General features: G+C 39.9%; 1 protein-coding gene across 8 annotated transcripts in view, besides 1 other annotated feature; it reads right to left on the bottom strand.

The window, feature by feature from the left end:
- Positions 1-21,885, bottom strand: part of B3GALNT2 (beta-1,3-N-acetylgalactosaminyltransferase 2) — a 64,657-nt gene that overhangs the window by 28,710 nt on the left and 14,062 nt on the right. For all 8 annotated transcript variants that reach the window (XM_006711749.4, NM_152490.5, XM_017000394.2 and 5 more), the window contains 4 exons: positions 20,663-20,763; positions 15,817-16,010; positions 11,549-11,644; positions 2,345-2,455 (listed from right to left, as the gene is read on the bottom strand). In XM_006711749.4, coding sequence (XP_006711812.1) covers positions 2,345-2,455; positions 11,549-11,644; positions 15,817-16,010; positions 20,663-20,763 — 502 coding nt within the window. The remainder of the gene's footprint in view (positions 1-2,344; positions 2,456-11,548; positions 11,645-15,816; positions 16,011-20,662; positions 20,764-21,885) is intronic.
- Positions 7,948-8,447: an enhancer, noted in NCBI's record as "H3K27ac hESC enhancer chr1:235639769-235640268 (GRCh37/hg19 assembly coordinates)". NCBI's record gives its function as "activates a minimal SCP1, AML or CMV promoter by ChIP-STARR-seq in primed H9 embryonic stem cells {active_cell/tissue: H9 hESC(primed)}" and the evidence as "EXISTENCE:reporter gene assay evidence [ECO:0000049][PMID:30033119]".

A 21,885-nucleotide genomic window follows, 5' to 3' on the forward strand; every position in this document is an offset into this window, starting at 1 on the left:
GCAGTGGCGCGATCTTGGCTCACTGCAACCTCCACCTCCTGGGTTCAAGCAATTCTCCTGCCTCAGCCTTCCGAGTAGCTGGGACTACAGGCACCCGCCACCACAGCCAGCTAATTTTTGTATTTTTAGTAGAGACGGGATTTCACCATGTTGGCCAGGCTGGTCTTGATCTCTTGACCTCGTGATCCTCCCACCTCAGCCTCCCGAAGTGCTGGGATTACAGGCGTGAGCCACCGCGCCCGGCCAATTTATTTCTTTTAGTGTAACCAATATTACAGAATTTTGGCATATGCTGGGTATTTTAAAGTTTCATAAATAGAAAAGGAGGCAAGATAATAAGGAAAGATATAATTCCATAAAACTTTCTATTTTCAGTAAAAAATTTTTCATAAGACTTAAAATGAACTTTAGTAAACAAGTGGTGTGTGTGTTTACTAAAGTAAACACCATCTTTATTGTCCTCCATTTACTTTATGAAATTTACCTGTCATAATAAATCCTAAATCCTAAACATGAATGAAATCCTAAACATGGCCTACAAATCTAAATGTATAACTACATATGAATCTATGGGTCTATTTGTTTAATGTCTTTCTTCCTCACTGGACTGTAAGTTCCACGGTGGGCCACTAGTATGTCTATTTTACCCTGCCATTGTTTCTGCCTTACCACAGGTATGCAGGAAATGTTTTTTGAATGAGTAATAACGTAGCATATATTCATTTCAACTCAGAAATTAATCCATGTAAATGAGGTTAATATTCATTCACTAAGCTTGTGAATTTAAATGCCAAGTACATTCCTAATCATTGGACAGGAGATCGAGGAGAATAAAAGATTGTCTATGATTCCACCGTACAGACCGTTTGTTTACTAAAGTTCATTTTAAGTCTTCATATACCTGCTTTATTGACCTATATTTACTTTGAGAAATTCACCTGTCAAACTGTTTTAAATTTAAAGCAAAGCCGAATGAGAAATATGAGAGTCAGAAATCCCAGAGTTGCTTCAGCAAAATAAATGAAAGTACTCAATCTTATTTTCTATTTTTTTTTGTTTTGTTTTGAGATGGAGTCTCGCTCTGTTGCCCAGGTTGGAGTGCAGTGGCATGATCCTGGCTCACTGCAACCTCCACCTCTGGGGTTCAAGCAATCCTCCCACCTCAGCCTCCCAAGTAGCTAGGATTACAGGCATGCACCACCAGGCCCAGCTAATTTTTTTTTTTTTTGGATTTTTAGTAGAGACGGGGTTTCACCATGTTGGCCAGGCTGGTCTTGACCTCCTGACCTCCAGTGGTCCACCCACCTTAGCCTCCCAAAGTGCTCGGATTACAGGCATAAGCCAGCACACCCCGCCTTATTTTCCAATATTTTTATCTATAGTAGTTTTTTTTGTTTGTTTGTTTGTTTTGAGACAGAGTCTCACTCTGCCACCCAGGCTGGAGTGCAGTGGTGTGATCTCAGCTCACTGGAACTTCTGCCTCCTAGGTTCAAGCAATTCTCATGCCTCAGCCACCTGAGTAGCTGGGATTCCAGGCATGCGCCACCATGCCTGGCTAAGTTTTTGTATTTTTAGTACAGATGGGGTCTTGCTATGTTGCCCAGGCTGGTGTTAAACTCCTGGCCTCAAGTGATCCACCTGCCTCAGCCTCCTAAAGTTCTGGGATTATTGGCATGAGCCACCGCACCTGGCTAATTATAGTATTTTAACTGAGGTTTTATTTTCAAGGTGAGATAGTAAATACTCTGAATACTACTGAGCAAGTATTCTTAAAGAATGCTAACTTAAAAATTACTGAGAAATAGGCCAGGTGCAGTGGCTCATGCCTGTAATACAGCACTTTGGGAAGCGTAGGTGGGCGGATCACTTGAGCCCAGAAGTTTGCAACCAGCCTAGGCAACATGGTGAAACCCCATCTCTACAAAAAACACAAAAAGTTAGCTGGGTGTAGTGGTGCGCACCTGTAGCCCCAGCTACATGGGAGGATTGTTTAAGCCAGGAGGTGGAGGCTGCAGTGAGCTGTGATCGTGCTAGTGCACCCCAGCCTGTGCAACAAAGTGAGACCCTCTCAAAAAAAAAAAAAAAAAGAGAAATAAAATATTGCATTTTAAAAATGCATCAATCTTAAAGCAAAACTGTAAACTCACTAATGCTGGAGTTACAGGATCATATTTGAGTTTTTGCCTTTACTATGAAGACAACAACATTTGCTACTATATATGTTGTAAAACACACAAGAATCATTGCTCCATGCTGCCTGGGCTCTAAGGTAAATTTTAGAACAATTTTATATATTAAAAAGAAGCTAAAATATGCAATTAAACCTTAAAAAAAAACGACTTACTGTAATGACTCTGAGAACTCCCCCTCCATCATTCACTGTCACTTTGTGGAGATTTCTTGACACAAGGCCGTGGAGGTCTTGGCTCTCCCACACGATTGTACCTTCAAAGCTCTTTTGTAGAAAGATGAATAGTGAGTCAATTTCCTTATTGCTGTCATTTAGGTTTTAAGTATGCTTTCAGGCAAGATTTTTAGAGAAAATTTTTCCCAAAACGTATCATTTAAAATTTTCACCCCATAACTCTGACATACCACTGTTAGCGTTTGGTGTGTATCCTTGACCGTTTTTTCCATGCACATATAAAAAACCAATTACAAAGAGTATATACACAATTTTGCATACTGCTGTTTGCCATTTCCCATTGTATCAAAAGCATTTCCTTATGTTGTTGCAGCTGTCACAGCCATTCTTCCTCATGTGTGTATAACATCCCAATGAGCAGATACACCCTGATTTACTCATTTTCCCCTACTATTAGACATTTGGTTGCTACTAAATGTCTACTAAAATATCTACTAAGTATCTACTAAAATAATGTAGGCATGTTTTGGTGTACATGTTTATTTACTCCTAACAATTTGTTTTGTACTTACATTCCCAGAGTGAAATTACTGGGACAAGAAAGAGATATTTTTATGGATTTTGGTATACACCGCCAACTGCTTTTTGAAAGCAACTTTTACTAATTTATAGGGTTATCAGCAATGTATGAGAATGACAACTGCACTGTATTCTCCCTGGTATGGGATACTAGTAAACAAAAGTTTAACCTAATATACTAGATTTTTACAAAATGATTCCTTATTTAGTTGGATTTATTTTTCAGTTTTTGACACAGAGCCTCGCTCTGCCACCCAGGCTGGAGTGCAATGGTGCGATCATGGCTCACTGCAACCTTCACTCTCCAGGTTTAAGCGATTCTCTTGCTTCAGCCTCCCGCGTAGCTGGGATTACAGGCGCTCACTATCACGCCCGGTTAATTTTTGGATATTTAGTAGAGACAGGGTTTCGCCATGTTGGCCAGGCTGGTCTGGAACTCCTGACCTCAAGTGATCTGCCCACCCTGGCCTCCCAAAGTGCTGGGATTACAGGCATGAGCCACGGCGCCCTGCCTGAATTTAAAAAAAAAAAAAAAAGATTGGCTTAGTTGGATTTCTGATTCCTAGTGATGTTTATGAATTGCATGTTCTCTTCTGAGGACTGCCTTATCATGCTGCTTTGCCATCTGCCCTCTGAGTTTTCTATTTTTCTTGTTCATCTATGCAAGCTTTTAATAAAGTAATTATCTTAATCCTGTGCACATTTTATATGCTAAAATAGTTTTTCATTTGCTACTTAATGCTATTTTTGAAATTCAGAAGTCCATAAATTTCACCTTGGCAAATCTGACAAACTTTTCCTTTGTGATTATTACTATTAAATTCTGAGCTGAGAGAGCTATGCCCCCCTGTCCCAAGGTCTGATATATATTGAAATCTTAATGTCTTCTAATTTCTCCATGATCCCATTTTTAATTCTGTGCACAGCTGGCTCCTTAGTCCTGCTCAGGTCTCAGCTCCACTACCTTCTCCTCCGAGAGGCTTTCTCCAGATGTCCTCCAGAAGGCTCCAACTCCCAACTTCTATCACATCAACCTGTTTTATCTTATTAATACCATTTATCACTCTGATATTTCTTATTTTATTTTATTATTAAACTAACTGCCTCTACTAGAAGACAAACACCTTGAGAACAGGAAGGAGCTTGCCTGATCAACCACTGCATCCCCAGCATCGAGCCTGGCCTGACATGACTGACAACTCAAAATGTTTGCTGAATAAATAATGTTGAACTAAAAATCAACCAGAATTGACTATAGTATAGAGGATTAAATGAAAGATATACCTCTAATACTCTAAAAACTTTCATGTTAAAATGAAGGGATAAAGTACTTTACAATAATGTCTCATTTTAGCCAGCAGTATAGGGAAACCATACAAAATTCAATTTGATAAGCTAGGTCAGTGGTTTATAAACATTTTTTTCCCTCTGCACAGAGTGATATAAACTTTTTCTTTTTTTTTATTTTTATTTTTTTGAGACGGAGTCTCACTCTGTAGCCCAGGCTGGAGTGCAGTGGCGTGATCTCTGCTCACTGCAAACCCCACCTCCCAGGTCCTGGTTCAAGTGATTCTCCTGCCTCAGCCTCCCAAGTAGCTGGGATTACAGGAATGTGCCACCATGCCTAGCTAATTTTTGTATTTTCAGTAGAGATGGGGTTTCACCATGTTGGCCAGGCTGGTCTTGAACTCCTGACCTAGTGATCTGCCTGCCTCAGCCTCCCAAAGTGCTAGGATTACGGGCGTGAGCCACCGCCCAACCTTTCCCTTCCTTTCTTTCCTTTTTTAAAATAAATAATATTTTTTTCCTCCTCCAAAACAGATAAAAATATTCCAAGAGTCCGGATTCCTCAGGCAGTTTATCGCTCTGTATTCAGCTAATGTATTTTCTTCTAAAACTTTAATAGTGATAGAGTTTGGAAGGATTGATAGCATATATACTTAGGATAAGGAACTGATAGGACTTGGTGAGTACCTGGACATGAGAGTGACGATAACTCTCATGATTCTGGTTTAGGTGACTTGAGGAAAAGGAGATGGTTACCCAAGATTAAAAATACAGGCGATGAGAACAGATGGGATGGAGACAATGTTACCATTAGAATGCCCATGGGACATTCAAGTGGAGAAGTTCAGGAGGCAACTCAAAGCATGTCTGGAGTTCACAAGAGATGCTGGGGCTGTAATTATAGATTTAACAGCCTTCAGCATACAGGCAGTAATGAATGAAATTGCCTGGGAAGAATGAGTAAAATAAAACAGAAGGCTAGGTAGCAAATCCTAATGATTAATATTTAAGAGGAAAGCAAAAAGGAAATAATGAATCATACCAAAAGTAAAAACTATAGTGACCAGATAAAAATCCTCACCTTGAAACTACAAATCTAGAAAAGATGATGATAAAACGAGTAATTCTCTGTACTGTCCATTCAATTGACATGACATGTGACATGCTATTTCACAGTGGGTCCTTCCTGGCACCCAACTCCATTTTGTCTGTGACTAGGCTATGATACAACAAACAAATTCAATGAATAATTGAATGTGTTACCAGAAAAATTCCCTAGTCCTCCCAAATCATCTTGACTTACTCATGGAACTTAAATAACCCATCAGCTGTTTTGTTACTAAGCAAGGAAGAAGCTTTATCTTCCACCTATCTCCTAAACCTGTTTCTGCTCCACAACACAGTTTAATTTCTATTCCTCACCTCTGCTCTCATACACCTACTTTTTATTCTGATGTAAGGCAATTATGAAGCCAGGTATCTCTTAAGATCCAAAACAACTTGTTTATGGCAATTCCCTTACTAAGATCATAAAAACCAAAATAAAAGTTGGGAAAAAATAGCATGATACAGGTTGGAAAAATGAGATATCATATCTATCTCTCCCATAACATAAGCAAGCTGTCTGTAACTCCTTTCACGCATCAACTCTTTTCCATAAAGCTTCTAATTTCTCATCCAAACAACAGAGTAGCTTAAATATATACAGTACTTCTGTGCCTATAAACATTAACAACTTCTTGTGGATTGGAGAAATGACTATATATAAAGAATTTCAACCTTCACAAAAAATAAGGATATAGGCTGGGCACGGTGGCTCACACCTGTAATCCCAGCACTTTGGGAGGCCGAGGTGGGTGGATCACCTGAGGTCAGGAGTTCAAAACCAGCCTGGCCAACATGGTGAAACCCTGTCTGTATTAAAAATAAAAAAAATTAGCCAGGTGTGGTGGCAGGCACTCGTAATCCCAGCTATTCAGGAGGCTGAGGCAGGAGAATCATTTGAACCTGGGAGGTGGAGGTTGCAGTGAGCCAAGATTGAGCCATTGCACTCCAGCCTGGGCAACAGGAGTGAAATTCTGTCTAAGGATGTAAGCGTCCATAATGCTAACAATAACGTCGCTAGTGACTTAGGTGAACAAAAATAGTCTGCTTTTTACTGAAATTAGTTACAGGTTCCAACTGTACCATTAAGGACAACATAAAATTAGAGACATATATATATATATATATATATATATATATATATATATTTTTTTTTTTTTTTTTTTTTTTGAGACGGAGTCTCGCTCTGTCTCTGTCACTCAGGCTGGAGTGCAGTGGTATGATCTTGGCTCACTACAACCTCTGCCTCCCAGGTTCAAGTGATTCTCCTGCCTCAGCCTTCTGGTAGCTGGGACTACAGGCATGCGCCACCACACCTGGCTAATTTTTTGTATTTTTAGTAGAGATGGGGTTTCACCATGTTAGCCAGGATGGTCTGGATTTCCTGACCTCATGATCCACCCGCCTCGGCCTCCCAAAGTGCTGGGATTACAGATGTGAGCCACCACGCCCAGCCAAAACATAAATATTTTAAGAGAAACACACAGTAGTCTTCACTTGTGAAGAATCACTTGTGACGCCCACTGAGATTTATGCTTCAGTGAGCTACACAATGAAAACCTTACAGGCGACCTGCTTACTGGACAAGCTATACTGGGGACATGTGACTCCAGGCAATCACCAAGTGTGGAGGGAATACGATGATGAACTTCCTCTCGCAAATGGAATACACTACCTACTTCTCTTCTGTTACTCTTTGCTGATGATATGCCAGCAAACAATCACTATCATTCTTCCGAGCAAACAAACCCAATCAGCCTTGATGCAGTAAAAAAAAGGATTTAAAATTAAACATATTTTCAACACAAATAGAATTTTGTACAACAGGAGAGAATTTTTTTAATTGCTAAAAGTTTATTTTTTCTTTCTATTATATAAAGCTAATATATGTTTATTATGGAACATTTAGAAGATAGATATACAAAAAGAAGAAAATTAAAATCATCCATAATCTTAGCTCCCCACCAGGTATAGCCACTATTAAATAATTGCTTGCTTTTTGTGTGTGTGGTTATTTTTGTTGTTTGAATAGGGACTGGGTTTCATCAAGTTGCCCAGGCTGGTCGTCTCAAACTCATGGGCTCAATGATCTGCCCGCCTCGGCCTCCCAAAGTGCTGGGAGGATAAGCCTGAGACACCACACGTGGCCTGCTTGTTTTTTAAAAGAAAAAATATTATACAAAATTAATAAAGGTAATAAAATCAAGTCTATTTAGCCTAAAGCCTGAAGGGAGATAAAAAGCACAAGGCTATAGTCATTAAAACTCTTAATAACTAGACCTGGTGGCCAGGCGCAGTGGCTCATGCCTGTAATCCCAGCACTTTGGGAGGCCAAGGCAGGCGGGCGGATCATGAGATCAGGAGATCAAGACCATCCTGGCTAACACGGTGAAACCCCGTCTGTACTAAAAATACAAAAAATTAGCCAGGCGTGATGGCACACGCCTATAGTACCAGCTACTCAGGAGGCTGAGGCAGGAGAATTGCTTGAACCCAAGAGGCAGAGGTTGCAGTGAGCGGAGATCATGCCACTGCACTCCCGCCTGGGTGACAGAGCGAGACTCCGTTTCTAAACAAACAAACAAACAAACAAACTAGACCTGGTGTGGTGGCTCAAGCCTGTAATCCTAGACCTTTGGGAGGTGAGAGGATTGCTTGAGGCCAGAAGTTCAAGACCAGCCTGCCAACATAGCGACACACCCATCTGTACAAGAAATAAAAAATTTAGGCCAGGCGTGGTGGCTCATGTCTGTAATCTCAGCACTTTGGGAGGCCAAGGTAGGTGGATCACCTGGGGTCAGGAGTTCGAGACCAGCCTGGCCAACATGGTAAAATCTTGTCTCTACTAAAAAATACAAAAATTAGCCGGTGTGGTGGCATGTGCCTGTAATCCCAGCTACTTGAGAGGCTGGGGCAGGAGAATCACTTGAACGTGGGAGGCAGAGGTTGCAGTGAGCCAGAATCATGCCAGTGCACTCCAGCCTGGGTGACAGAGCAAAATGCTGTCTCAAAAAAAAAAAAAAGATATAAAAAATTTAGTTGGGTCTGGTGGCAGGTGCCTGTAGTCCCAGCTACTCATGAGGTTGAGGTAGGAGAATCATTTGAGCCCATATGGTTGAGGCTGCGGTGAGCTATGATCATGCCACTGGACTCCTGCCTGGGCAGCAGAGCCAGAGCCTGTCTCAAAAAAAAAAAAAATAAGTAAATAAAAATTAGGGGAAAAAAAAGTCTTAATAACTACAAAGGTAACTCACTATTTTGGCTGAGTACTTCCCATCATTAGTACCCACTGCCAGATATACCATCCTGAACACAAGCAAGGAAGGTTAACCCCTCTCCCCCAACCCAATTTTTATTTTGAAAAGCTTCAAACCTATAGAAAAGTTCAAATCACCATTCAAATCACCTAGACTCACCAACTGTTCACATTTTGCCACATTTGCCTTTTTGCTCTCTCTCCACACACACTTTTCTGTTGTTGGATCACTTAAAAATACAGATATCATGAATTTTTAACTTTAAGTATTTCAGCATGTATTTCCTAAGAACAAGGACATTCTAAGCGAAAATAATATTTTTTATGAACTAATCAAAATTTGCAATTCTTTCTATAAGGCTGACCAAGATAATGGAACAGACTCCATAAAACTGCGATTAGCTTGAAGCATTAAAGTTCATTTTCTTCCTCTTTGCTGCACCCCATGTGACTTTCTTTTGGAATACAGTTTCTCAACCTCAGCACCAATGACATTTTGGGCCAGATAATTATTTGCTGGGGCGGGGGTGGGGTGGTGTCCTGTGGCTGCAGGATGTTTAGCAGAATCCCTGTCCCTTTACCCACTAGATGCCAGTATCACCCTACATCCAGTTTTAACAACTGAAAGTGTCTCTATACACTGCTCTGTGCGCGGAGGGCAAATTGCCCCTGGTGAAGAAACACTGCTCTTAAAGAATAGGACCCCCTCAATCCAGATGAGGAGTATAATGATAATGACAACATCTATTGATCTACTGAATGCGTGGCATATGGCAGCATGTTCTAAGCAGTCTACGTGTGTTAAATCATTTAGCCCCCAGAATAACCATCTGAAATGGGTGGTGTAGCACCTTCATCTTAGAGGAGGAAATAGACACAGTGAGATTAAGCACCTCATGTGAATGAACAAACCAAAGAATGGCTTCCTGCAAAAACTGAGATCCAACACTATGTATCTGAACCACTATTCTTTTTTTTGAGATGGCGTCTCTCTGTGGCCCAGGCTGGAGTGCAGTGTTGCAATCTTGGCTCACTGCAACCTGTCCCCCGGGTTCAAGCGATACTCCTGCCTCAGCCTCCCGAGTAACTGGGATTACAGGAGCCTACCACCGCACCCAGCTAATTTTTGTATTTTTAGTAGAGACGGGGTTTTGCCATCTTGGCCAGGCTGGTCTTGAACTCCTCACCTTGTGATCCACCCGCCTTGGCCTCCCAAAGTGCTGGGATTACAGGTGTGAGCCACTGAGCCCGACCTGAACCACCATTCCTGAAGTAAAAGGTAACTTTGATGGTACATACTGCACTTAAAAAGGAAAAAAGTTCATATGTGAAATTAATAAAAGGATGTAGGAAAACAGGCACTCTCATATATTGCTAATGATTGTTCACACTGATACAAATTGCTAAACTCCCCTCCAGGAAGGAATCATCTGACTTAAAAATGTGTATACCCTTCGACCCAACAATTCATCCTAAGAAAATAACCAGTTATACACATAAAACAGAGGTGCGGTGATATTTACTACAGTCTTTTCCATAACACCGAAAAATTGAAACTCTATCAACACCCAAATACAGAGTTAAATGACAATACTTTCATACAATGTAATTCTATATAGCCATTACAAATAATAGAGCACATCAAAAGATGTTCGTGATATGTTAAAGTAAGTAAATTATAAAGTAGAATGAACGGCATAATCCTAGCAACTATAACACATAGAAGCAAAAATGTTAAATGTGATTATCTCCAAATATGAGATTCTAGTAGTCTTGTTTTCCTTTAGCATATCTGCATTTTCCTTTTTTTCCACCCCTGTTTTAGTTTGGCTTTTATTTAAAAGTCGTTTTGTTTTTTTTAATTTATTTTTTGACTGCTTTTGCGGAGCAGGCTATCCTATAAGCAGTATGCTGAGAGTAGCGTATTCAGAAGTTTTTAAAATGGAGGTTCAGATACAAATGAAAAGGAGATCCCTTTGACACTGACAGAATTAACATATAGTTTCAACTACTTGTACTCAATTCCAAAGACCCATAGTATGTTACAAAAATGTGTGGTTCCTATTGCTGAACACATTGTGAATGGCACACCACAGAATGGGTAGGAAAAAGTTTCTTGGTTAGTCACCAGGGCCGGTCAGTTGTCTAGCCTCCACACCTTAACCCAGCTGAGATGCTGCGGGATGAACTCTATAGGTGATCTAAAGTGAATCCCAGAGATGTCTAGGAAACTGACCCCGATTGTGGTTCCAGAGCACTGAGTTCAGGAATGTACTCGGCCTAGACTAAAACAGCCTAGAAAGGCTGAAGCTGATGAATGAATAATTTGTTATGTCTGATCCTGATTCTGTCACACTCTGCGACCATACTGTGTGGCTTAACTCCAGGACTAATGAGGGCACCTGGCAGGCGAGGCATTCTTTAGTGCATATCTAGTTATGACTGGACCTAGAGGGACCCAGAAGGTGACAGGTACATTTTCAGGCTATCATCCACAACTGTTCACCCTTTGGAGAAATTTTATTTAACTTGGAAACATGGCCCATCTCTATCATTAACCTGTCTGCACTGACTTTTTTTTCTTTTCATTCTTTAGATAAGCAAATTATTTAATTTTTACCCAAATGGTATCTCTGTCTGGTCTTTCCATCAATCCACACCCAACATCATCCTTTGTCATTAAAACAATTGTGTAGTTCTCTACTCCACTAAATAAACTACGGAAACATGCAATGTTTTTCAAAAAGTGGTTTTGGAACCTCTGAGGCCTCATGAAGTCCTCAGGAGGTTTGAATACAGAGTGCTATGTTTTAGCCCATCCACAGTTGGTACCTTCATCTATCACTCTGGAGTGCTGCCCTGGTACAAGAAAATATCAAGTGCCTGCCCCTGAAAGCACACGCCCACTCCTATGAAGGACTGCATTGGTACTACAGTCTTTTCCTGCCATCCTGTACCTCTGGTAAGATGAATTGTTCCACGGGCTTGTACCACAGCTTGTTCACCTGCACACCACAGCTTGGAGGACTGAAGCGAGCAATGAAGAGGGCCTCCTACAAATTGGGAGAAAAAGACAAGAAAAAATACTTCATGTTATACATTGCATATGCAAAAAGTTTTCAAACACCTTACTTCTTGGTCAGCTAAATCCACAATGGCCCTAACCACGGTCACTAACATGGTTCTACTGTGGTTTTGGCATCACTGGGTTTTCTAGTGCAGTCATGGTTATTAAATAACGATATTTAAGGTAATCAAAGTTGTCACGAAATTCTCAAATGCTAAACATAATCCACATAACCTTAAAAAAAAAACCCACCTTGAAAGAAAAAATATTCAGGGAAGTGAGCAGTGTTGTTAAATTAAGCCAACACATTATAGTGTCAACACTCCCCCAAAGGGTTAAAACTAAACTGAAAGACACAGATTTTTACTGGGAACAAAAGCACTCAGGAAACTCCGTTCAAAAAGAATCTTCAGAAGAAAATATAAACAAAACAAAAAAGGGAATATAAAAGAGGACTGGAGCCAGGTGCAGTGGCTCACGCTTGTAATCCCACCACTTTGGGAGGCTGAGGCAGGCAGATCACTTGAGGTCAGGAGTTCCAGACCAGCCTGGCCAACATGTGAAACTCCAAATTTCTACTAAAAATACAAAAATTAGCTGGGTGTGGTGGCAGGCACCTGTAGTCCCAGCTACTTAGGAGGCTGAAGCAGGAGAATCGCTTGAACCCAGGAGGTGGAGGCTGCAGTGAGCCAAGACTGCACCACTGCACTCCAGCCTGGACCGCAGAGCCAGACTCTGTCTCAAAAAAAAAAAAAAAAAAAAAAAAAAAAAAAAAAAAAAAACCGGACTGATTTTCACTATGTCTATCGTTTTCTTGGGTTCTCCCATTTCTTCCAGGCAACATTTCCTCATTCTCATGCCTATTCTTATATACCAACTTAACCATAGGGGAAACTTCTGTTAAGCTCTTAAAACCATGCAGGGGTTCAAAATTAAGCACATTTCAATGGATTATGTCTATTTCTTTCATGAACACCAGTTCTTAGCAATGCAGTATAAGAATAGTTTTTGCATCGTGACTACCCATGAACCCATTAGCATCCATCTTAGACTAGTCCTTCCTTGAGGACAAAGATTAACTCCTCCCTGGTTAAAAATATGGCAACTAGAAGTTATATCGACATGATCAAAATATTGTATGTCTGAACCAAACTACTTGATTGATAACTCGCACACTATAAATAGTTTTGTTTTTTGAGACAGTCTCACTCTGTCACCTAGGCTGGAGTGAGTGGTGCAATCACGGCTCACTGTAATGCAGCCTCGACCTCCTGGGCTCAAGTGATCCTCCCACCTCAACCTACCAAGTAGCTGGGACTGTAAGCAAATGCTACCATGCCTGCCTATTTTCTTAATTTTTTGTAGAGATGGGGTCTCACTGTATTGCCTAGGCTGGTCTCTAACTCCTGGGCTGAAGCAATCCATCTGCCTTGCCCTCCCAAAATGCTGGGATTACAGGCGTGAGCCATTGCGCCTGGCTGATAGTTTTTTTTTTAAACTATATATACTAAGATAAACAAGTGTATCAAAAAAATTCAAGATTAATTCTAATTTCTAGATAACAGTGATACTCAGAGTACTGCTATTTCAATTACCTATTTGATCTTCAGTATCAATGAAACTGTTAACTACAATCATATATGGACTCCTATAGTTGAGTATACAAAGCTCTTCTCACTAATCATTATAGCTGGCATCATCAGTAGAAATCCTACTCTTCCCTCTGTCTTATATTTATGTCTATAAACACATCAACAAACGAGACAGATTATTTAGAGGAAGAACAGGGCAAATTCCAAAAAAGAAATTTAATCTCAAATTTATTTGTGTATTTATTGATGAGTCTCTAACATTATATTCATTGCTAATAATCAACATTAATAATACAAACACATTTTAAAAAACTGAACAGAGTTCTGCTGCCAGTAATATCAGACCAATTCTCCTATAGATAGTAACTATGAACTCTGGATGAAACATAAAAAACAATGATTTGAAGGCACTGGAATTCAAACAAACAGGCAGAAACTAGAGAAGAATCAGTACTTGGAAGAAGGAAAAGGCTCCAAATATGCATCTCCTCCCTACCCCACTTCTTGACTCTTTGTCTGAGGATACAACTCTAGGGTAACTAGAAATTTGAATGAAAATCTGTAGTCTTTCTGCTTGAAAATTAAGAGGACAGAGTTGGGGCAAACACATCAATTAATAAAAGGCATTAGGGGGAACCTCCCAGAAAGGAAAGGATCACAGAGAGAGAGAACCACAAATTCTTCATATAAACTCTACCCAAATCTGTGGCTGACTCATGAAATACACATACAAGGCAGAACCCAAGTAGCCCATCCAAGGCCAGAGAAACTGAATAGAGATTTTAGCTGTTTCTCACTGCAAGTGAGACAATGTTTAGTCTGTGTCCAGCCAATTTAGCTGCCTGCTAAAACAAAAAAAAAAAATCAATACTCTGAGGAATATAATAGGATCCAGAGTTCCTACAATGAATTATTTACAATATCTAGGATACAATGCATGAGTAGCATGTAGTCCCAGCTACTCAAGAGGCTGAGATGGGCGGATAGCTTGAGCCCAGGAGTTTAAGGCTGCAGTGAACCACGACTGTGCCACTGCACTCCAGCTCAGGTAAAAGAGCGAGACCCTGTCAAACAACAACAAAAAAACCGAAACCCAAACCAAAAAACCCCCCAAAATACTAGACATAAAACAGAAAAATGTTACCCATATTTTAGAGGAAAGATAATAATCAATAAAGACAGACGCTGAGATGACTCAGAATAAGCGTACACAGATTTTAAAGCTGCTGTTATAACTATGGTCAAAGCTGTAGAGAAAAATATTCTCAAACAATGAACACATAGGAAATTTTAGAGAAATAGAAACAGTAAAAAAGAACTAAATGGAAACTGAAGCACTAAAAAGTATAATATTTAAAATAAATCTAAAATAAAAAATTCATTGGATAGGCTTAACTTCAGATTTGAGATGACAGAAGAGTCACTAAACTTGAATACAGATGAACAGAAGTTATCTACATTAGAAAAGAGAAAAAACACTGAAAAAAATGAACAGTCTTGTGATCTGCAGGACAATACCAAAAGATCTAACATACATGTAACTGGAATCCCAGGAGGAATAGAGAGAGCGAGCGAAGTCAGAAAAGGTTCTGAAGACATTAATAGTTGAAAATCCCCCAAATTTGGTAAAATACATACATTTACAGATTGAAGAAACATGTAGCACGCCCTGAATAAAACAGACAAAGAAAAAGCACACCAGGCCTGGTGCGGTGCCTCACGCCTGTAATCCCAGCACTTTGGGAGGCTACTTGGGAGGCTGAGGCAGCACTCTGGGAGGCCGAGAAGGGCAGATCACTTGAGGTCAGGAGTTTGACACCAGCCTAGCCCACATGGCAAAATCCCATCTTTACTAAAAATACAAAAATTAGCCAGGTGTGGTGGCATGCACCTAGAATCCCAGCTACTTAGGAGTAATAAACCAAATACAGGAAAACGTTAATTGTTGTAGAATGTAGTTAGTGGCTATAGGGTTTACTGAATAATTCCTTCAAGTTTTCTTCATGTTTAAAACTAAAAAACAGATCCTTCAAATACATTTCCATGCTGCTACTTCACATGCACTCTGTGAACAAATCAGATTTCCCTACATATCGGGAATAGAGAAACCTCACTGGTTTTCTGTTTTCTGTAAAAGAATAACTTTTATTCCCTCTATATCCTTATTACAAAAAAGATTTGAAGCAGTTATTAGCCTTGTATTACAGACTTCTACAGTTGGAAGTAAGAGGCAATAATACTCACTTATCCTAAGAATCCTAAACTTTTTTTATATCCATTACCAACTTTTGAAATTCCCTAGGTTTTAGGGAATTTTAGGTTGGAGATTTCTAATCTAGTCAACTCCTTCTCTTCTAGATATAGCACATTTATTCACAGATAATCTATCCCCAAACCAGTCTTATATCACACTACAGTGTATTTAGTCAATAGGGGAAGAAAGGTGAAAGTCTCTCAACCAGAGAGAATTATATAGTCTTCCAATCTACTTACTGTATGTCACAAGGAAAAGTTGATGTTTTTGAAAAAGAAAAAAGAGAAAAAACCTGTACAGAGCAGTGCATACCTCTTGTTCTGCCTGATAAAGTTTGACAGTGATGTTCCTCTGGAAACCCACATCATTGGCATCGTAGAACACTCCAAGACTGGTAATAACGATGGGGTAGAGAACTCGGAAACTCACGCTGACAACTCGATCCTCAGGCAGCCCCGATGAAGTGTCTTCGGACAGACTGAACGCTTCAATTTCCTGATTCAAAACTAAGTAATGAGAACAGGTTTATATAACTGAACAAATGTAATCCTTTGTTTTACTAGTAAGAAGTAGTGAAGTGGGCTTAATGCCAAAACCTAGGTAATCATTTGCTATATAATTCACAAATGGCAGGAATTTTTAAAAAATGCTTGAGAAAAATGGCTGCTTCTATATAAACATTTTTGAAATTTAAGAATAAAGTTTTCAGCCACATCTAAGTAAGTTAATTATCAGAACTGCTTTAATAGCTTTTTGCATAAATGTGTGCATATATATGTATAAACGCCACAGGAGATATTAAATTTAAGTCAACTGGAAGGCATCTATTTGGAAGGGTTGGATAAATAGAAATAAGAAAAACAGTACTGACTGTAGTCATAAATAATCAGTAAATTTGGTCTTACTGTGCAAATTCCAAAAATCCTACTTCTTGTTAGGCAATTTAAAATACTTGTGATACATCAGGCAATTATTACGGTATAAATAAGCAACTGAAGTCACTTCAAATAACACTGAAAAACTCTTGCTGTACAGCACTGATAAAAGATAAGCATATCAAACACAGTTTTGAACCATCTTCTATGTACCATTTCCCATCACATTTATATCTTCACTACTACCCTTGTGGTTGTGGCATTATCTCCAGTTTACATATTAAGAAACTGAGGCCCAAAATTAAGCAATTCACCTAAGGTCATAGAAAGTGGCAGATCCAGGAATCAAGTCCCATTTAGTGATTCCAAAGTCAGTCCCCTTTCCACTCCCTCACAGCTGTCTAATCAGTGCCAAAACAGTTCAAATAATTTTTCTTTTATTTCTTTTTTTGAGACAGTCACCCAGTCACCCAGGCTGCAGTGCAGTGGCATGAACATGGCTTATTGCAGTCTCAACCTCCTTTGCTCAAGGGATCCTCCTGCCTCAGCCTCCTGAGTAGCTGGGACCGCAGGCACACACCACCAGGCCTTGCTAATTTTTTGTAGAGATGGGGGTCTCATCATGTTACCCAGGCTGGTCTTGAACTGCAATCCTCCCGCCTCAGCCTCCCAAAGTGCTGGGATTACAGGCATGAGCCACTGTGCCCAGCCTTCAAATAAATTTTCTAATTACCATAAATGAATCAGAATACATTAAATAAAGCAGTTCATAGGCAGGGAATATCAGTGCTACTTTAATAATATAAAACCCTATTTTAAAAGATTATATCAAAGTTCTTTGTATCTTTTAGAGCTGTGGTTTTCAAATTTTGCTGACTACACAACACCATCAGTTAAAAATATTTGTACACACACCTATTTACTTACAAAATATATGCATATATTGTGGTGAGTCTATATATTCAGTATTAATAAAGATTGTATTTTCTTATTTTCAGATAAATAGAAATTCTAAGCCTGGGCAACATGGTGAAACTCTGTCTCTACGATACAAAAATTAGCTGGGCGTGGTGGCACACACCTGTAATCCCACCTACTTGGGAGGCTGAGGCACGAGAATTGCTTGAGCCTGGGAGGAAGAGGCTGCAGTGACCTGAGATTGTGCCACTGCAGTGCAGCCTGGGCAACAGAGCAAGACCCTGTCTCAAAAAAAAAGAAATTACATTTTCTTCCTATACTCTAGGTCATTTGGTTGCCCACGTCAGACTTCCTAGAAGCTCTTTACACTCAGTAGATATTCAGTAAAATGGGATTAAAGGGAAGTGATGACTCCTACCTAATTATAGACATGAACAGGAGGGAAAAAAGGGAGAATACAGTTTTTTGTCATGGGCTGGGCAAGCACTAACTGGAGAGTCTAGACTACAACATAATGGACAACAATACAATTTTTTCTCTTTAAGATATTCAGTAAATAACAGATATCCATAGTAGAAACCTCTTTATTAAAAGCAATAAGTCAATTATAATATAGCATTTTTAGATATTTTCTTATCTAAAAGAATTGTGCCTTGAGCTTCAAGTTACGTGGACACAGGAAATCCCGTTGCATTACAGTGCTATTAAACCTTCTACCACAGCCACAGTATCACGATGATTAATGCTTACCATGACCTTCAGGTACTGAAATAACCATAACTGCCTTTGGATCATCGAAAAGATAAGATTAGGTTCAATATTAACTTAGTTATATACGCATTTAAAAATTCATAACCTAGGTATTACATATATGAAAATGTTCTTTTAACATAAAGTTCTACTTCTTTACTTTTAATAAATAACAGCACTTAAGATAATAAAAATATGGTTAATTTAAAAGTGAAGGGCTTCTTTTTGTTTTGGTTTGGTTTTCAATTGTAATTTGTTGGAGGATACATCAGTGGATACCACATCAGTGACATAACATTCTATGGGGTTTATGATCCCTTTAAGACTCCAGTGAGGCCAGGCGTGGTGGCTCACGCCTATAATCCCAGCACTTTGGGAGGCTGAGGGGGGTGGATCACGTGAGGTCAGGAGTTTGAGACTAGCCTGGCCAATGTGGTGAAACCCCATCTCTACTAAAAATAAGTCAGGCGTGGTGGCGGGCACCTGTAATTCTAGCTACTCGGGAGACTAAGGCAGGAGAATCGCTTGAACCTGGGAGGTGGAGGTTGCAGTGAGCCGAGATCGCGCCATTGCACTCCAGTCTGGGTGACAAGAGCGAAACTCTGTCTCCAAAAAAAAAAAAAAGACAAGACTCCAGTGAAAGCCAAAGGACTTTCTCCCCAGCACACAATTCATACATAAAATTTGCTTACAATGTTAACTGAATTCACAGACATCCTAAGTAAGAAACCTCTATTTTGTAATACAGACCTGAATATATTGTCCAATTTATTTAAAAAGCTGTTTGAAACCCAGCTTTATAAAATAGCAGGCTCTTTAAAATAATGTTCAGTACCTTCCACCTTCTAGGAACTATTATTCTAAATACATCATATGTATCAACTTATTTCATCCTTATGTCAATCCCCATGAGGGAGATTCTTTTATCCCAAGTTTACAGATGATAAAACTGAGGCAGAGGAGGTCACACAGCTAGAAAATGGCAAAGCTTGGATTGAGAGCCATGGAGACTGCTTATAAAAGTGAGGTGTTACTTAATTATACAGTTTTAACAAACCTTAAAATACCAGAAGTCCTAATCAGCATATTTAAGACTTGGAAGTATAACCTCCCTTAGAAACACAGCTGAACATAATGGGAATTGCTAATAAACACAGACAGTTAAAAACTTATCAACTTCCTAAAATTGGTTCCCTGGTGACACAGAGAACCTAGTTAGGATCAGCTTTCTTTCGTTGTCTTTGTTTTTGAGACAGGGTCTCGCTCTGTCACCCAGGCTGGAGTGCAGTAGCGGAAGCAGATCATAGCTTACTGCAGCCTCGAACTGCTGGACCCAAGCAGTCCTCCTACCTCAGCCTCCCAAGCAGCTGGAACTACAGGCATGAGCCACAATACTTGGCTAATGTTTTTTTTTTCAGACATGGGAGCTCACTATGTTGCCCAGGCTGGTTTTGTGCTCCTCCTCCCACCGTGGTGTCCCAAAGTGCTGGAGCAGCTTTCTTTATCCTCACCAGAATTTTTACAAACTTTTAATTTTAAGGCATAAATAATGTTACTTGTGTCTTACATTTTTTACTATTTTTTCTTTTACAGAAATAAATTAGACAATAATTCTAAGAGAAAGTTGATTCATAATATTTGTTTCTTCAAGATTATTATAAATTAACTGGTAAAATCAGCAGTTTTCCAAAAGTTCAAAATTTGGTAATTCAGGATTTATCTAAGCATAAGGAACTTCCAAACGCGTATGAATCACACTGAAAAATAAAGTCTCCTGGATCCTAAAGTTCCAATTCTGTAAAGAATCTCTACAGGTACCCCAAGGCAATCTGTCAAAAATGATGAAATAGGCTGGGTATGGTGGCTCATGCCTGTAATCTCAGCACTTTGGGAGGCTGAGGCAGGTGGATCACAAGGTCAGGAGTTCGAGGCCAGCCTGACCAACACAGTGAAACCCCATCTCTACTAAAAATACACAAATTAGCCAGGCGCAGTGGTGGTAGCCTGTAATCCCATCTACTTAAGAGAGGCTGAGGCAGGAGAATTTCTTGAACCTAGGAGGCGGAGGTTGCAGTGAGCCAGTGAGCTGAGATAGCACCACTGCACTCCAGCCTGGACAACAGAGCAAGACTCCATCTCCAAAAAAAAAAAAAAAAAAAAAAAAAAAAAGATGAGACATAAATTTGGATGAAAGACATTTTAGTCTATTAAAAACAGACTCCAGGGCATGGTGGCTCATGCCTGCAATCCCAGTGCTTTGGGATGCTGAGGCTGGTGGATCCCTTGAGGGTAAGAATTCAAGATCAGCCCAGACAAGACAGCGAGACCTCAACTCTACAAAAAATTTAAAAAATTAGCCAGTTTTCGTGGCATGTGCCTGTAGTCCTAGCAGGGTGGTGAGGTAGGAGGATCGCTTGAGCCCCGGAGTTTGAGGTTATAGTGAGCCATGACTATGCCACTGCACGCCAGCCTAGGCGACAGAGCAAGACCCTGTCTCTAAAACACATAATAAAATAAAATAATAAAAAATAAAAACAGACTCCATACTATTAAGCTTAGCAACTTTTACTCAACATCAAGCTTGTGTATGGCAGTCAAGGGAAAAGATGACTTACCTGGATTTGTGATGTTGAGTAGTTTACAGGAATAAGGATCCTCCCTGTCTTCCACAGGCACTTCACAGCCATGAGCACCTATTATGAACTTCACAAGCACACTGAGAGATGTGTTGGCATTAACATCAGTTACTGATCTTCACCTCGCACATGCACGTTTCCTCATGCCCATTTCAGAGCTTTTACTTTGAGACACAAGTGTTTATGAGGATTAATTCTCTACCTTTATTCTTCTAGTCAGACAAAATGGGGGAACAAGTAAACTGAAAGTTGCTAACTACCAAGTTACTTATGCATGAGTCCTTATTGCAATGCTATATTAAAGCAAGTATGAATATGTCTGGCCTCGCTACAAGCAAATGTTCATATCATTTAAAAGCAAACTATAGTAAAGTCAGTTCTCATGCCCATACCTAAAAACATATCTATATCTAAAATTTTCCTTTGCTGCCTTCTTCTATTTCAGAAAGTGTTCCTTTTGCTCAAGATTAGGTCTTTCCATCCAAGAGGAAATCCCCTTCTCTCCTAGACCTTGCTTCACTGGTTACCCCTGTAACTAGTGACTCCTTCCCTCCACATTACAAACATGATAAAGTCCTGACTCTAATTATTCTCTTCACCTTCCATCCTTCCTTGCCACCACACTTTACACTGAGGTCCTACAAAGAAATTAAAACTGCAGCCTGTTTCTTACTTCCCACTCATTTTATAAAACAAGAGTTTTAGCTTTAATATCACCACCTCCACTGAGATTCCACTAATGTAACCAATGAGCTGCTGCTAAATCAATAGACACTCTTGAACTCTTACCTTCCTGGTTTCTCTACGGCTTAATACTGCCCAGCTCCCTAAAATGCTCTCTTCCCTTCCTTCTGTGGCCTGCTCAGTCATCTTCACTGCCTCTTGTTCCCCAGCTTGTCCACTGAGAGTGGTATTAGTCTAGGGCTCTGCCTTTGGGTCTTTTCTCAATCTACTCATTTTTTTTACTTCCTCTCCCTAAACAATATTATTTATTCTCATGGCTTCAAATAGCATGGGAATGATTCCTGAATTAGTAACTCTAGTTGTTTTCTTTTTTTTTGAGACAGAGTCTCGCTCTGTCACCCAGGCTGGAATACAACAGTGTAATCTTGGCTCTTTGCAGTCTCCACCTTTCAGGTTCAAGTGATTCTCCTGCCTCAGCCTCCTAAGTGGCTGGGATTACAGGCGTGTGCCACCACGCC

The sequence above is a fragment of the Homo sapiens genome, chromosome 1 (genome assembly GCF_000001405.40).
Source record: "Homo sapiens chromosome 1, GRCh38.p14 Primary Assembly".
Lineage (NCBI taxonomy): Eukaryota > Metazoa > Chordata > Mammalia > Primates > Hominidae > Homo > Homo sapiens.